General features: G+C 36.6%; 1 protein-coding gene across 2 annotated transcripts in view, besides 1 other annotated feature; it reads right to left on the bottom strand.

The window, feature by feature from the left end:
- Nucleotides 1-17,624, bottom strand: part of EPC2 (enhancer of polycomb 2) — a 142,819-nt gene that overhangs the window by 122,886 nt on the left and 2,309 nt on the right. The gene's annotated exons all lie outside the window — the stretch shown is intronic.
- Nucleotides 11,184-11,273: an enhancer, noted in NCBI's record as "active region_16621". NCBI's record gives its function as "activates an Ori minimal core promoter by ATAC-STARR-seq in GM12878 lymphoblastoid cells {active_cell/tissue: GM12878}" and the evidence as "EXISTENCE:reporter gene assay evidence [ECO:0000049][PMID:35858748]".

Below are 17,624 nucleotides of genomic sequence, written 5' to 3'. Positions count from 1 at the left end.
TAACAGAAAGCAGATGAGCGTTTGCCTGAAGACCAGGAGGTGGAGGGATTGGGGGATGAGATCTGTTGATTATCTTGACTATGAAAACAGGTGTAACACAAACATCAACACAACAAATTGCACACTTGAAATACGTGCAGTCTGTATGTCAACTATACCTCAATAAATGTTTGCGTTTATTTATTTGAGACATTGACTCACTCTGTCGCCCTGGCTGGAGGACAGCGGTGCGATCACAACTCACTGCAGCCTTGACCTCCAAGGCTCAAGTGATCCTTGCACCTCAGCCTCCCGAGTAGCTGGGACTACAGCACACAGCACCCTGCCTGGCTAATTTTTCTATTTTTAGTGAAGACAGGGTTTAGCCATGTTGCCCAGGCTGGTCTCAAACTCCTGGACTCGAGCAATCCACCCACCTCGGCCTCCCAAACTGCTGGGATTACAGGTGTGAGCCACTGTGCCCAGCCTAATAAATTATTTTTAACAATATCTTCCAAACACAAAATTCTGGCTAAAATAATGTCACTATATATAAAATATTAAGCTCTAATTCTTGGAAAATTCCATGTAATACACAACAGTATGCCTATACTAAGAGTAAGAGACTCCTCTTTTGGGGAATTGGGTAGTAGGTGACTCAGAGTCCTTTAGGATCTTTCTTAGTTCCAAGTAACCACTGAAAACATGTACTATATAGCAGGGGTCTCCAACTCCTGGACCATGGACCACACAGCAGGAGTTGAGCAGAGGGCAAGCAAGCATTACCCTGAGCTTCATCTCCTGTTAGATCAGTGGCAGCATTAGATTGTCATAGGAGTGTGAACCCTATTGTGAACTGCACATGCAAGGGATCTAGGTTGTGCATTCCTTATGAAAATCTAATGCCTGATTATCTGAGATGGAACAGTTTCATACCAAAACCATCATCTCCCACCCTCATCCATGGAAAAATTATCTTCCACAAAACTGGTCCCTGGTGTCAAAAAGGTTGGGGACTACTGCTATAGAGTGAATAAGAAAGCCAGTGATGATCCAGGCTTCAGTGGTAAGATAGATTCTTACCAAAAAAAAAAAAAAAAAAAAAAAAAAAATCTTAATCTATATAGTAAAACTGGAATTTTGCTAGCTACAGCTATAAATTTTGCATTAAATAATACAAAAAACTTGGCTGGGCGCAGTGGCTCACGCCTGTAATCCCAGCACTTTGGGAGGCCAAGGCGGGTGGGTCACGAGGTCAGGAGATTGAGACCATCCTGGCTAACATGGTGAAACCCTGTCTCTACTAAAAATACAAAAAATTAGTCAGGTGTGGTGGCAGGCACCTATGGTCCCAGCTACTCGGGAGGCTGAGGCAGGAGAATAGCGTGAACCTGGGAGACGGAGCTTGCAGTGAGCCAAGATAGCGCCACTGCTTTCCAGCTTGGGCGAGAGACTCTGTCTCAAAATAATAATAATAATAATAATAATAATAATAATAATAATAATAATACAAAAACACAGTAGATACCTTTTGAGGCATCTGTCCCATGTATCAACTGTCTACTCTACCATTCTCTCCCATTCTTTCCCACAAGAGTGTGCTGCCATCAGCCAAGCTGGTAAATCATCTCACCCTACTTGCAGCCACAGTTAACTATATTGAGCTAGATGTTTGACCTGAACTAGGCCAATCATATTCCATCTCCTGGAAATTTAAAAATGAGACTGAATCACTATTCTCAGCCAAAGCTGGCTGCTTAAATAAAAAATAAAATTAGAAGCTTTGAGGTAGCCACTTTTGGCCAAGAATATGTGAAAGCTCTGTGAAGTCCTTTTGCAGGAAAGCAAATAATAAAACTAAAGAGTTTTTAAAAAAATTTTATTATTATTATATTTTAAGTTTTAGGGTACATGTGCACAATGTGAAGGTTTGTTACGTATGTATGTACGTGCCATGTTGGTGTGCTGCACCCATTAACTCATCATTTAGGATTAGGTATATCTCCTAATGCTATTCCTCCCGCCTCCCCCCACCCCACAACAGTCCCCGGTGTGTTATGGTCCCCTTCCTGTGTCCATGTGTTCTCATTGTTCAATTCCCACCTATGAGTGACAACACGCGGTGTTTGGTTTTTTGTCCTTGCGATAGTTTGCTGAGTATGATGGTTTCCAGCTTCATCCATGTCCCTACAAAGGACATGAACTCATCATTTTTTATGGCTGTATAGTATTCCATGGTGTATATGTGCCACATTTTCTTAATCCAGTCTATCGTTGTTGGACGTTTGGGTTGGTTCCAAGTCTTTGCTATTGTGAAAAGTGCCGCAATAAACATACATCTCCATGTGTCTTTATAGCAGCATGATTTATAATCCTTTGGGTATATACCCAGTAATGGGATGGCTGGGTCAAATGGTATTTCTAGTTCTAGATCCCTGAGGAATCGCCACACTGACTTCCACAATGGTTGAACTAGTTTACACTCCCACCAACAGTGTAAAAGTGTTCCTATTTCTCCACATCCTCTCCAGCACCTGTTGTTTCCTGACTTTTTAATGATCGTCATTCTAACTGGTGTCAGATGGTATCTCACTGTAGTTTTGATTTGCATTTCTCTGATGGCCAGTGATGATGAGCATTTTTTCATGTGTTTTTTGGCTGCATAAATGTCTTCTTTTGAGAAGTGTCTGTTCATATCCTTTGCCCACTTTTTGATGGGGTTGTTTTTTTCTTGTAAATTTGTTTGAGTTCATTGTAGATTCTGGATATTAGCCCAAAACTAAAGACATTTTTGAAAAGAGTAACACCTCATTACCAAATGGTGTTCATTCTAGGAAAGCTAGTATGGTTCAGTATTATACTATTCATCACTAATTATAAATACACCTAAGGGGAAAATCATATGGTAATCTCCACAGATGCCAAAAAAAATTTGAGAATATTCAACACTCATTCATGGTAGATACACTACAGAATTTTTACATGTTATGTACTTTTATGTATTACATAATATATGTATTATATGCTATTATAAATATGTATATTGTTTTCTACATCTGTAAATCAATACAAAATTATGTACATCGCATTTAACAAAGAAACACTAGAGACACAAGTTCAGAAACAAAACAAAAATGCCCATTATCTCCACTACTATTTAACACAGAATTGGAAGTATTTGCAAACACAACAGGGAAATGTAATTAGAAGCATACTATTTGGAAAAGGAGAGGTGAACTATCTCTATTAGGTGGTGATATGGTATCTAACTCAATTACATAAGAGAATCAGAGAAAACTAGGACAAACAATTTAATAAAGTTGCAGGATATAAAAATTAACATAGAAATCAACAGCTTTAACAAGTTATAAGGTATAATGAGAGAGAAGATTCCATTTACAATACCAAATAGATGAGATTCCTAGGCATAAGCTCAACAAAAAATGCACAAAACCAACCCTCCAACAGGATACACAAGTAGACTTTGACAAATGAAGAGACAAACCACATTCCAAAACAGGAAGTCAACATCATAAAGATGTCAATTCTCTATAAGCTAATTTATAAATGTATGGTGAATCCCAGTAAAACTGCCAACATTATTTTTGGGAGTTAGACAAAACAATGATAAAGTTCATATGAAAAAATAAGAAACAATTGCCAGTAAACTCTGAAAAAGTAGAATAATGAGTAAGGGGAAGTGACTAGCTCTACCAGATATAAAAATAAATGATAAAAGATAAGATAATAAACAATTAATAATCTTATCTTTGAAAAGATAAAACAATTAATGATTTAAACAGTTTCTTGCACACAAAAAAAATTCTGAAGGAAAATTTAAAGGGAACAAAATTAAAAGTTAAAATATACACCAAATGAGCTAAAAAAAAAAATTCAAATAGGATGGAGGTAGCATCTCATACCAGGGAGAAAAGATTATTTTTTTAAATGATGTTTAGACAACTGGATATCCACTTGAATGAATATACTGATCTACAACGCAGTGTATACTAGAACAAACTACAAAAGTTCTAAGGAAAAAATGAGGTAATTAACTTGAAGGGGGAAATCTACTTAACTTTAATTCAAAAACCAAAAGCATTTTTTATTAAGGACTTAAAAAAAAAAAAACTCTGACTGATATGTCAATTTCCCTCAATATGGAACTGAATAGATTACAGTCAACATATACACCAGACCACTAACTAGTTACAGTAATAACAAATAAGAATTGATGCTCAGCACACAAGAATTTCTTTAATGACCATATCTATATTTAAAATTCTCTTGTTTTGGAAAATGACTATCCCTTCCTCTCAAGCTCCCTTTAGACCAGTGACCCAATACAAGCTGCCATTCTCTTACAACGCCCATGTCTCAGGCTACAGTGAATAAAGCTAATCCAATAACTGAAGTGATGGCTCAAAAGGAGCTAAAGAAATTCTTTCCTGAAATTTTTCAATCTGAAATAGATTTTAAAAAACAAACCTCTCTTTCTCTTTCTCTCTCTTACACACATAGACCTATTCACATACAAATATATTACATAGAAAAAAAGTATGGAAGAATGTACATTCACCCAAAGGTCAACCACAGAGATATCTCAGAGATGTGGAAATTTAAGGGATTTGTGTTTTCTTCTTCACACTTTTTCTGCATATTCTGAATTTTTTTACAAATGAACACACATGATATTGTTATAATGGAAGAGTAGGTATTTCCAAAAACAGAATATAATGTAAACAATCTGGGGTTTCATTTTTCTAGTTTACAGAGAAATTAACTACCTCAAGATATGCTTAGGTGGCTGAGTACCTTTCCAACGACCATCTGTACTGTTTTATTACTCTACAGAATCAGCACCTTCCTGTGCTGTGTTAATGTCCTAACAGTAAATAAAGGGCAACTTTTATTTATGCCACTGTTTCTAAACACAATACCACTGCAATACAGGCAAATGGTATCTAGATTTTTTTTAATTTTTGTGTGTAGAAACTTGCTATGTTGCCTGGGCTAGTCTCAAACTCCTGGCCTCAAGTTATCTTCCTGTCTCAGTCTACCAAAAGGCTGGGATTACAAGCATAAGCCAGAGTGCCTAGTCACAATATCTAGATTTACTTTAGTGCTTAAATGTAATAATATTATTTATATTCAATACATTTCTATTCATCAGTAATATGTTTCCACAAACAACAAAGTATCAATAAGTAAAATTCTGCATTTCACATCAGTATAAATTCAGTCTAAAACTTTAAAATACCTCCTCAGATTTCTCAGAAAATTTAAACCTTTGTGATTCACATGCAATGAAGATTAACTATTTTTTTTTAAAAAAGCAATCTGCATTATCAACTAAAATGTGATTCTTAACCTCCTTAATGAGTCATCAGGGTCATTTACTCTAGGTCTGATGATTCTCTGGAAGGGAAGTGGTAAACATCCATATGAAACTGCGGTAACAAAACAAAACAAACCCAGAAAGTTCACAGACTCCATTAAGTCTATCTAGGCACCAAAGACCTCAGTTAAGAAACCCTGACATAAGATGAAGATTTAAATGAAACTCCTTAATCCACAAAGTATCCGAATTGTTTTTATTCTGCCATAAATTTGCTGAAAATGCAGTCAGAAATCACAGTTCAGTAAACTCATAACTAGTTTTGTCTCTAGTTTTCTGCCACCACCACCACCCATGCACTGCCTCCACAGTCCATCCAATAATGATCTATTACAAATACAAACTTGAGGATATACCCTGCAAAACCCAAGTTCCCCATCAAGACTAAACTCTATATTTACTACACAAAGGGGGAAAAGATATACATATATATCTTTTAATAATAAAACTATAATAATCATACAAAATAAACTATATAACATACATATATAGTTTAATATCATTTATCACTTATCATTGCATAAGTAGTAAGTAATATATAACCCATGTCGCTGAATTAAGTAAAGCAGCGTTTTTCAAACTGTGAGTTGAACCACTAGTGAATCATGAAATCAATCTAGTAGCTCATGACCAAAATTATTTTTAACAAAATAGAACTGAAAAGGGAAAAATGCATATATATATATATATATATATATACACACACACACACAGCTAATCTTCATTACTTGCAAATTCCCTATTTGCAAATTCGCCTACTTGCTAAATTTTATTTGTGACAGTTTCTCAGTCACTTGCAGACACGTGCAGAACAGTGAAATATTTGAGTTGCCCACCTGACATATACTCCCAGCTGAGGTCAAACAAGGTGACACTCTGACATCTTGTTTCAACTCTCATACTATAAACAAGCATCCTTTTCATGTTCTACTTGTACCATGTTTTTCACATTTTTATGCCTTTTGTGGGTAATTTCACTGTCTAAAGGTGCCCCCGAGTATGGTGCTGAAGTGCAGTCCGGTGTTCCTCAGCACAAGAAGACTGTCATGTGCCTCATGGAGAAAATACATGTGTAACATAAGCTTCCTTCAGACATGAGTTACAATGCTGCCGGCTGTGAGTTCAATGTCAATGAATCAACAATGTATTTTAAATACACAATTTAAAAACAGAAACATACATAAAACAAAGTTACAAACTGATCAGCAGATGAAACTGTTGTGACCAGGGTCTAGCGAGAACTTAACCCTATTATGTCCCTTGGAGCAATGGCTTAGGTATTAAATAATTCGTGCTCATGGCAACATAACAGAACATAACTATCTCGAATAATGAAAATCAACTGTATTGGTATATGTGTAATATAGATATGTCTGTCAAAGTGCACTTTATTTCAGTTACACACACACACACACACACACAAAATGAGTGATAGTCAAAAAAACATTTGAAAGCCAATAAATTAGACCACAAGGAAAGAAGCCCTGAAAGGTGTGGTAAAATGGTAAGGCAGAAAGGCATGGATCATGGGCACACACGCCAATCCCTTTTTTCTACCTAGACAAATCAATTCTACTGAATCCAGAATCACCCCTAACTTGTGATTTGGTTGGTAGATCTAGGATAAAGCTTTTAAGTGTACTTTATAAAAGCATCCTAGATATTCTGGTGTGTGGCCAAGATAAGAACTACAATACTACCTCTCAAACTGCTGGTTTTCAAAGTTGGGTCCTTGGACAAGCAGCACCAGGATCACCTGGGAACTTCTTAAAAATGCAAATTCCCAGGCCCTATTCTAGACTTAATCAGACACTAAGAGGAATAAGACCCACTGATCTCTGTTTTAACAGGCCCTCTAGGTGATTCTGAAGCATGCTAAAGCTTGAGAATCACTGACCTATATCTTTGGAAATTTTTGTGGGAGGTATTTTGAAAGCCTTGATGAATTTTGCAAGGTGGCTAGGCTATTTCAAATAAACTCCTACTGACCAAGCACCTATAATGTATAAACAATCTTCTTCCAAGTACTTGGCTTTTACAGAAAGTGACCCATCACTTTAAGCCAAAATTAAGTAAAATCTATGCATTACTTGATTAATAATCAAGCAGCACTGTTTCTTTAGTCCATCCTCCGTAACAGTTTCTGTTCTTCCAAATTCGTTCAATAGGCACTGTTTATAATACAATTTTGCCCGTCCTAAAAGGTGACTCTACACTAGATCCCAAAACTGTTTCAACTCTCTTAATAACTCTACTGGGTGTCATACACTTCCCTATATGAGCGTAACAACAGGCATCTAAAAAAAAACTCATGGCATTCTGGCATACAGGAATCATTTCAAGACTAATCTGTAAAAACTAATTCAATAGTACATTATAGTCAATTAGCTATTACATGAATTGATATTTAAACTCTGGTTCAAATCATGTCCTTCATGATATAAATTTCCACAGTATCATTTTCATTTTCCACATTAACACCTTAAAATGTGTTCATCTGTGTAAAACTCCTTTCTCTCCTACTAAGCAATAAGCTGCTTGTGAATGGGTACATCTTACTCCTTTCTGCGTCTAAAGCACATAGAAGGTGCTGTACATTCAGTCACAAATATTTACTGAGCAAATACCAATATGCCATCTATACCAAATGATGGAGTATACAAAGGTAACAAAGAAAAGGTCCCTGTGCTTATGAGGCTAAGTTACTGAATGAATAAACATCACAAACAACTACAGTGACAGTAGGAGACAGTGCAGTCCATATGAAATATCTGGCTTGCCAACATGATACCTGAATAGGATGGCTTTCTTCAAAAGAGTATATTATTGTTGCTCTTCTGACTCAAGTTACTACTTGAGGTCATAAATAAATATTACAGTAAAAACACTGACAAGTCACATTTTTAATAATTAATCTGACTTTTTTGGTATAAAAATAGGAATACAAGCACTATGCACAATGCAATAAATAAAGTCCTATGCACAATGCAAGGCTTTGCTGACAACCAAACTGCCACTTAGGAATGACGGGTTAAGGTTTGCTATCCAAACTACAAACAATCAACAGAAAGCTACATTCTGCTAATTCTCAATTCCTCAGAGATGTTAAAGGGAAGGAATTGAAAATCAAAATTGCCTGACCTTGTAACTCTAGATTAAAAAGCTAACTTTAGGATCACATATTACTCACTTACAAAATGAGTATAAGAGAATTACTTGGTTACTTTACCGAGTAAAAAAGCCTTTGTCTAGAAATTTTCTAGAATAACCCCCCCCCCCCCCACACACACACACACACACACACAGCTAACAGCAGCTGCCTCTGTAGCGTGTCTGTGAACTTGAGGAAGGAAAGACACTTTTTATGTATATGCTTTTGTGCTGTTAAATTTTTATATTTAAATCATGTGGATCTATTATTTTTCAATTTTAAAAAGCTAGTAGTAAATGTGCTAAATGTGAAAATAAGACAATTCTGTCTATAGTACCATCTCCTGTATAGTAATGGGAATAAAATCTGCAGCCTGTATGCTTTTGAGACAAGGACGACACAGGAATGAGATTGCCATTTGGGCCATGGAAATTCTCCTGAAGATTTCTGAACCTCAGGTCGTAGGTTCCCAAAACATCCATAGAAAGAACTAAGGGGTCCATGAACTTGGATGAGAAAACATAAACTTCTAACAAATTTAACATTTCCTTCAATTCCTAATGTAGACAACAGACCACAGTAGTACTAGCAATACCAACAGAAATCCTAGATCTTTTCACGTCAAATTATGTCAAAATACCGTTTATATTTATCATTATTTTGAATTTACAATAACTAGATCCAACTGTAGATTCTGTACTTAATGTGCTAATAAAGTACACATATTAAAAATTGTTTATTTTGATAACTTTATTTCAATACAATTGATTTATCTGACCTTATTTTATGCATTTATGGCATCATTCTGAGGAGTTCCAACAGACTGCCAAAAGAGTCCATGTCACCAAAAAAAGGTTAAGAAGCCCTGGATCATAATTCTCAAATCAGATGCCAATACCCTTCACTTGGAAATTGAAGGAGGAAGCATTTTGGGGTTATTCCAACTAGAAAGTTCCAGAAATTAATGGGCAGAAGATAGATGTAATAAACTTGTTTTGCCAGTGACCGTCTCATACAACCAACTACAAATTGAATGCTAATAGTGCCCCAGTTGAGAAACATCTCAAGAATCAAATAAATGGCATGACTACCCTCATCAATACCATACTTTTGAAAGTTTCCAAACAAAAGTGTTCATCCAAGAATTCAATGGTATACTGGAATGTCTCTATTCACTTCTCTAGTGTACAACACCCACTGCATAGATTTTCATCACTAAAACTTATCTTTCCCATAACTAACTAATCATCTAACCTAAAAAAAATCATTCTGAGGAACAAAAACAATATTTATTAATTATTCAGGGCCCAATTATTACTCTACGGATTAAGTGAAGATTTAGTTCTCTTAGCAAAAAATTTTCAAGGTCTTTAGTTTTTAAAATCAATTTGCTTGTCAACTGCTGTGCCAGAAAACAGAAGGAAGGAGGAAAACACACATATTAACTTGTAATGTTTGAAAGCGCTCTCTCTTTTTGTTTGTTTGTTTCTAAGAGACAGGGCCTCAGTCTCACTCTGTCATCCAGGCTGGCGTGCAGTGGCGCTATCACAGTTCACTGCAGCCTTGAATTCCCGGGCTCAAGGAATCCTCCAGTTTCAGCCTCCTAAGTAGCTGAGACTACAGGTACATGCCACTCCACCCAGCTGATGTTTTTATTTTTTGTAGACACGAAGCCATACTATGTTGCCCAAGCTGGTCTCAAAACTCCTGGCCTCAAGCTGTAAAAATGTTTAATTGGCATGAGAAAAAATGTGAAACTCTATCACAGAATAATGTATGGGAATACTCTACATTTTACTCTTCCATCAACCTTCATATTTGTTATCCTGTATAAGTGAAAATTGTTACCAAAAAAATGAGTGTTGCCTATAAGACACAGACTTAAGTTTTTACAAAAAAATGTAATCTTGGCCGGGCATGGTGGCTCACACCTGTAATCCCAGCACTTTGGGAGGCAGAAGCAGGCAGATCACGAGGTCAAGAGATCAAGACCATTCTGGCCAAGATGGTGAAACCCCATCTCTACTAAAAATACACAGATTAGCTGGGCGTGGTGGCGTGTGCCTATAGTCCCAAGCTACTTGGGAAGCTGAGGCAGGAGAATCACTTGAACCAGGGAGGCAGAGGTTGCAGTGAGCCAAGATCGCGCCATTGCACTCCAGCCTGGGTGACAGAGCAAGACCCTGTCTCCAAAAAAAAAAAAAACAAAAAAAAAAGTAATCTTTAAAACTAACTTTTCAGATACTTATTAAACAGATGAGGAAATGGGGCTCAATGAGGTTAAGTAATTTACCTCACCCATAAGGCAAGTGGCAGAGGCCAGGATTGGAACCTAAATCACAATTTCAAAGTTCCAACAACTTCACCAAATTAGCAGCAAAACTGAATGCTGCTTGTTGACTCCCCAACCAAGACATGAGACACGTCCTTAGCCCATTTAAAAAAAAAAAAGCAAGCAAGCAGGGAAGCAAAGATAGGAGTTAAGAGAGGTAGCAGATAGGCTGACTCTCCAGTCTGCATTCCTCTGACTTTATAGCAACAGCTGCTTACAGTAAAACAAAAAACCTAAAAGAAGACAGATACAATGAAACTGCTGAGGAGAAACTGGAAGTGACTGGCATCTTCCTCCACAGTGTTAACCCTGTAAGAAGCGGTTCTGCATGATAGAATATGTAAATTTAAAGCTCTGTCCCATTTAAATAGTATAGACAAGGCAAATAATCGATGATCAACTTTAAGTTAAAATCAAATAATCATGATGGACCTTCTGCCATCTGCATTGGTCTCCTTCAGGGCTTATTCCTATCAGCCTCTCCTCCTCATGCTGTCTCTACACACCCATTACTGTTTTTCTACTTCAACTCTACTTAAAACTAAATGAAGATGCAGAGCTGCATTGTTTACCAATACAACGAAACTCAATCCAAGTGACCAGCAACATGCTAAGTGCCTGTATTACAAACTTTTTATCACTTAAGACAGAAAGTGACAGAAGTACCTGGATTGCTATCCTGCCTGTCTTGGGTACTGAATAAAACACACATGATACCTTCCCTCAAGACATTTAGTCTTGTTGGGGAAATAAGTGTCTACTCTCTCTCGTGCACATGCTCTTTTTCATACATATATAAAATTCACACACACACCATTACACACACACTCAAGTGAGAAAAATGATACTAGAAAATTAAAATAAACTCAAGTGGTAAAGACTAAAAGTACTACTGAACTTCAGAATACTTACAGCAATGAGTAAGCCTAGTAAAGTGAAGAAAATTTCATGAAAGCAAGATGATCATAACCAAAACATACACAGAATGGATTGCTCTACTAGGCTCTAGGAAAAATTAATATTAGATAGAGGACGAATATAATCGATCCTCATAAAAGAACGATAAGCCAAATTGACAGGATCTCAGCAGTATTAAAGAGTTAAACCTTAAGCATTAATTTCTTCCCAATATTTAATGTCACATTTGTTAGTTCTTTTCATCTAATTATAATCCTGGACAATATGCCAGTAGATAGACATGCGGTTTCAGAGGTTCAAGTAATTTTTAGAGTCAAAGGTACTTTAAAGGTCACTCAGTCCAATTCTATTTCACAAATGAGAAAACTAAGGGCCAGGAAGGTTAAATAATTTCTACGCGGTCAAACAAAACTCATCCCTTACAACTTTGAAAATTAATAAGTGTGAAGAGTTTGCTTTTTTTTAAAAGGACACTGGAGACTTCTTTTACAGTCTTTGATTCAAATTTCATTTAAAACATAACACATACAAATTATTCTAAGCTCATTAAAACATCTTACAAATTTATGGTTTGTAAAAACACACTAAGTATACAAATTCACCTTGGGACAAATCATGGATTAAAATGATTTAACACTTTAACTTCCTAACTTTTGATCATGCTATATTACCATCGGTAGCAGATCTCTCAGGGCAGCTCTCCAGCTGAGAGGGTAACACTTCTCAACATAGGTATACTAACTTCCCCTTCTCTTTGAATGGCAGACTCAGAGGTAGATACCTGATGCAAGCCAGACCAATAACGCTCTCTATCTCAAGAATCTGGAATTTTGAACTTTAAATGGGAAAATAAATGATAGAACAGTAAAGCTATAAAGGACCTTAGATATCTTCTAGTTCTCAACCCATTCATTTTACAGATGAAGCAGTACAACGGTGAAGCAAGAGCCCCAGAGTCAATCAGCCTGAGTGCAAATTCTGGCTCTAGCATGTTCTTTTTTAGACGGATGATCTTAGGCGAGTTACTTAATTTCTAAAGTTTCAGTTTCTTCCTCTGAAAAAGAAGTAGTAACACCTATATGTCCTACTCTTAAAATCAACTCTAAACCATCTATTAAGTTTAACAAAGTGCCTGGCACATGCTCAAACACTCAACAACACACACTCAAATGTTAGCTGAGATAGTAGTGATGAACAACCTGAGGCTCAGAAAAGCTAAGCAACTTCCAAATTATATGGCCATTTAACCCACTTAGGCATAAATGGGTTAATCCATGACAACCAGAACTAGAAACAAAAACTCCAGAATCATACTTCAGTGGTCTTTCATCTATACCACCCTACAAACTCCTAGGCCTAACATTCAAAACTGCCTATAATTTAGTCTAATTCTACCTTTTTTCCAACCTAATCTCCACCCCTATTTTTACTCCTTCATTCACCAAATATTTACTGAGTGCTTCTATGTTTTAAACGGTTTTTAGTGCTGAAGATGTAACAGGGATAAAATGAAGGGGAAGACAGAAGCAAAAGATGTCTGCATGTCCGAACGAAAACAGGGGAATGATATGGTCAGCAACATCAGAGTGCTATCCTCCTAAAGTTTCTATTAGCAGGAAGAATAGGAAATGATTGACAGAAAGCATCTAACATGGAAGAACCTTCCTTTGGTCTACTCAGCATCCTCAGAACTTCCTTTAGATATTCTTATGCTCAAATATTTGCTTCAACATACACCATACAACCAAACCTGAAAGCCCAAATTGTTACGCCTCTCTCCAAGAAGCCTTCTTTATGACATGCAATGAATCACCTCATGCCTCTCAACTACACTAACATTTAACTTTCTCTAATGCTCTTTTGATGTCTGTCAGGTTGTCTTAACCCTGTAGTTTTTGCTAACTTTCCAGATACATGTTTTTGGACTTAATGGTTCATTTAAGTTCTATGAAATTGAAGTCTGCATCTTCTTTTATTCCTAACATTTCAGTACACGGCCTTACACATACTTTTCCTATACAGAACACTTTAGTTTCCCAATATCTTATTTAGATAACAACTGGCATTTAGATAATACCTGGCATGTCATTTGCTTTTGTTAGAAGAAGAAATGCTTCATGTTTTTACAGTATCAACTTACAAAACTGCATTTTATACCCTCTCCATTATGAAACATGAAATATATTAGTGCCAATAGTAATTCTGAAAAGGTATCAATCAGGATTATATTCCTACTGTATCAATTCAAAATATCACTTAAAATATTAACATAACGGCAAAAATTAGACAACATATGAGAGGAGATATGGCAATTCAAATTAGTCATGGATCTTCTTTAAAAATAAGGTGAATCACATGATTCATGTAGACTGGTACATTCTGGTATGAAAAAGTATCTCACAGAAATCTACACACACCTATGAGAGTTACTTAAAACAAGATAAAGATTTATCATTACAACCATATCGGCGTGTGAAAAGATTCTATATTTAAAGAGGCCTCTGACTCAAGAGGAAAAGAGGATATAATATTTAGATATACATAGTACCAAAGTAAGCAACCAAAAAGAATTCCTGGAAGAAGACTTTATCAAATGCTGCTAATAAATTTTATATATAGATAGATATTGGGGGAGGGGGAGAAAAGACACAAATATAGCTCTTGGAACAGAAAAAGAAATAGAAGCCCATTCAACACTCAACAAACATTTTGCAAGCATGTATTATGTGCCAGGCACAGTTCCAGGCACTTGGAATATATTAATGAGCAAAATAAGCAAAGATCTTTGCCCTTAGAGACATTATATCCTAGCAGGAGAAAAATCTAAACAATAAAATGGGACAGTTTCCCACAAATTTCTTATATGCTTAAGATAACATAAACAGTGGGATAAATATAATGGTGCCAATACAGGGGAAAGCAAAGTTCACAAACTGCTAAGAAAAAAGAAAGAAAATCTGAAAACCCAAGAGCAAAAGTCAGACCAAATTAAGTAATGAAAAAACTACACTTCTTAATAATTTAACAGTCTAACCAAATTGGCAACTTCTAAGGTTTCCAAAGTTATAAAAAGTAAAATATTATTTACAAAAGCTATAATGAACTTAATCACAGTTCAGAAGATAACTCTGGATTCTGTAAGAACCCTGAATATGCAGCATGGTGACTATGAGTATATGCTTTTGTGACACCAATGTCAAGGGTCTGAATTTCAGCCCTGCACTAGCAGCAAGACCTTTCAGCTTTTCCTCTATAAAACAGAAATGGTAATACCTCACAGGGCTGTTACCAGAATTAAATGATAATCAAAAACTGGAAACAACTAAAAAATCAGAGAGATGCATAAAGATAGCATACCAAATTCACTGGAATACTACTCAGCAATATAAAGGAACAGACTCATACAACAAGGATGAATCTTAAATGCATCGTACGGAACAAAGGAAGCTAGACATAAAAAAGTATGTATGATTCCATTTATATGAAATTGTAGAAAAGGCAACCTAATCTACAGTAAAACAAAACAAATCAACAATTGCTTGGACTAGGAGTGGAAAGGGACTGGTTGCAAAGGAGCACAAGGGAACTTCTCCAATGTTGGAAATGTTCTATATCTTGTTTTCATGTTTGTATGCATTTGTCAAAATTCATCAAACTCCACACTGTATATAGGTACTTTTTTTGTATGTAAAGTATACTTCAAAAAAAGTTTATTTAAAAAAAGGATTAAATGAAATAATATATGTAAAGCCCTTAACACAGTATCTCGGATATATGAAGTATTCAGTAAATGGCAAGTATTAGTAAAAACATCAACTACCACTATACAACACTCATGGGGAGGCGGCAGAACCGCTGGCTGCCTGATCTTTCTGGTCTAAATTCTAAATAAACATAAGTGTACAGTACTTGACCTAGACCAAGTGCCGTGAGGAGCATTACAAAGACCAAGTTAAAGGAGGATGCCAACTGGCAGCTCTTAGCAGAGGACAATGATAATAAGGATAGGGAAGAAAAGAAGTAAAAGATGTTTGGATGTCCAAAAGAAGAGGCTACACAGGATGACATGATTATCAATGATACAATGTTACCAATGCCCAAGAACACCTAAATCACCTCATCCAGGCATTGTCAGAATGTAACTCAGTCAGAATGTAACTCGAACTTGAATAATGACTTTGTTTATATAAACGAAGTCTAATGATAGTCCAATAGCTACACAGAAGAGACAGGCCTTAATTTTAAGGGTGGGTGGGGATAGAGGGGGAATGGGAAAAAGCCATCCATGAAGGCTTCAAAAGATTTTGCCAACCAAGCAGGACAGCACAGTTCAGAGACACCCAGCAACAATTGTGAATCCGTAAGCCAAGGTTGGTTTGTTTGTTACAAGCCTACTGATTTAAAAGAAAAAAATCTTATAAAAATAAGGAGTTAAGGACATCTAGATATTGAAAGTTACTTAAAATGCAATTCAAGTGAAACACAAAACATTTGTGAAATGTATGACATTTTACTGCTGCTTAGAAATATTTATCAAGGCAGAACCATTTTTATAAATACATAATTCTGTTTAATAACAGAAGTCCTGTAAGACCAGAGAAATGAATTTGCTGTCACTCATGAAAACACAAGTCTTCTGACATACATATTTAAAAAAGAAAGAAAAAGAAAAACTAATACTCCAATTGGACACTCTGGGAAGCAAAAGATTTCAGACTATAAATCTTAACTGTTACGGTTTGCTTAATTTTGATTTTAAGAATCTCCACTTTTAGCATGTATTAAAGAGGCAGAAAGGACAGGACAAAGAATCAGAGGTTCTGGGTTTCAACTCTAGTTTTATCAGAATTTGGATTTCTTCTTCCTTAAAATTGGGCAATTGAAGTAGGCTACTGAAAAGTATCCAAGTTTAGCACTCATGCTCTAGTTTGAAAATAATTCTTTCTAAAAGAGCTAATAAAAAAATTGCAAGGCGCGGCAGGGCACGGTGGCTCACGCCTGCAATCCCAGCACTTCGGGAGGCCGAGGCAGGTGGAGCAAGAGTCAAGAGATCGAAATCATTTTGGCCAACACGGTGAAACCTCGTCTCTACTAAAAATACAAAAATTAGCTGGGCATAGTGGCACGTGCCTGTAGTCCCAACTACTTGAGAGGCTGAGGCAGGAGAATCACTTGAACCCGGGAGGCGAAGGTTGCAGTGAGCTGAGATCGCGCCACTGCACTCCAGCCTGGCGACAGAGCTAGACTCGGTAATAAATTAAAAAAAAAAAAAAAAAAAAAAAAAAAGTCTGCAAGGCGCGGCCAGGCGCAGTGGCTCACACCTGTAATCCCAGAAATTTGGGAGGCCGAGGCGGGTGATCACCTGAGGTCAGGAGTCTGAGACCAGCCTGGCCAATATGGTGAAACCCCGACTCTACTAAAAATACAAAAATTAGCTGGGCGAGGTAGTGGGCGCCTATAATCTCAGCTGCTCGGGAGGCTGAGGCAGGAAAATCACCTGAACCTGGTAGGCGGAGGTTGCAGTGAGCCGAGATCGCGCCATTGCAATCAAGCCTGGGCGACAAGAGCTAAACTCCATCTCAAAAAACAAATAAACAAAAAATTGCAACACGAGTTAAGCACTTTTATTTTTAATGAAGCATGAAAAAATTACTCTAAGTTATCTTACTAAATTAAAATACCAAAACATATGTGGCATACTAAGGACCACGTATGTTGGTGATTGCAAAAAGTAATATACCTTCCAGGAGTTAACTGTTCACTCTAGAACAGATTTCCTTTTTTTTGTTGTTGGGGGGGACGGAGTCTCGCTCTGTCCCCCAGGCTGGAGTGCAGTGGCACGATCT

Source organism: Homo sapiens, chromosome 2 (assembly GCF_000001405.40).
Source record: "Homo sapiens chromosome 2, GRCh38.p14 Primary Assembly".
Taxonomy (NCBI): domain Eukaryota; kingdom Metazoa; phylum Chordata; class Mammalia; order Primates; family Hominidae; genus Homo; species Homo sapiens.
Note: the sequence above shows the minus strand (reverse complement) of the source record. Positions and strands in the feature narration are given on the sequence as shown.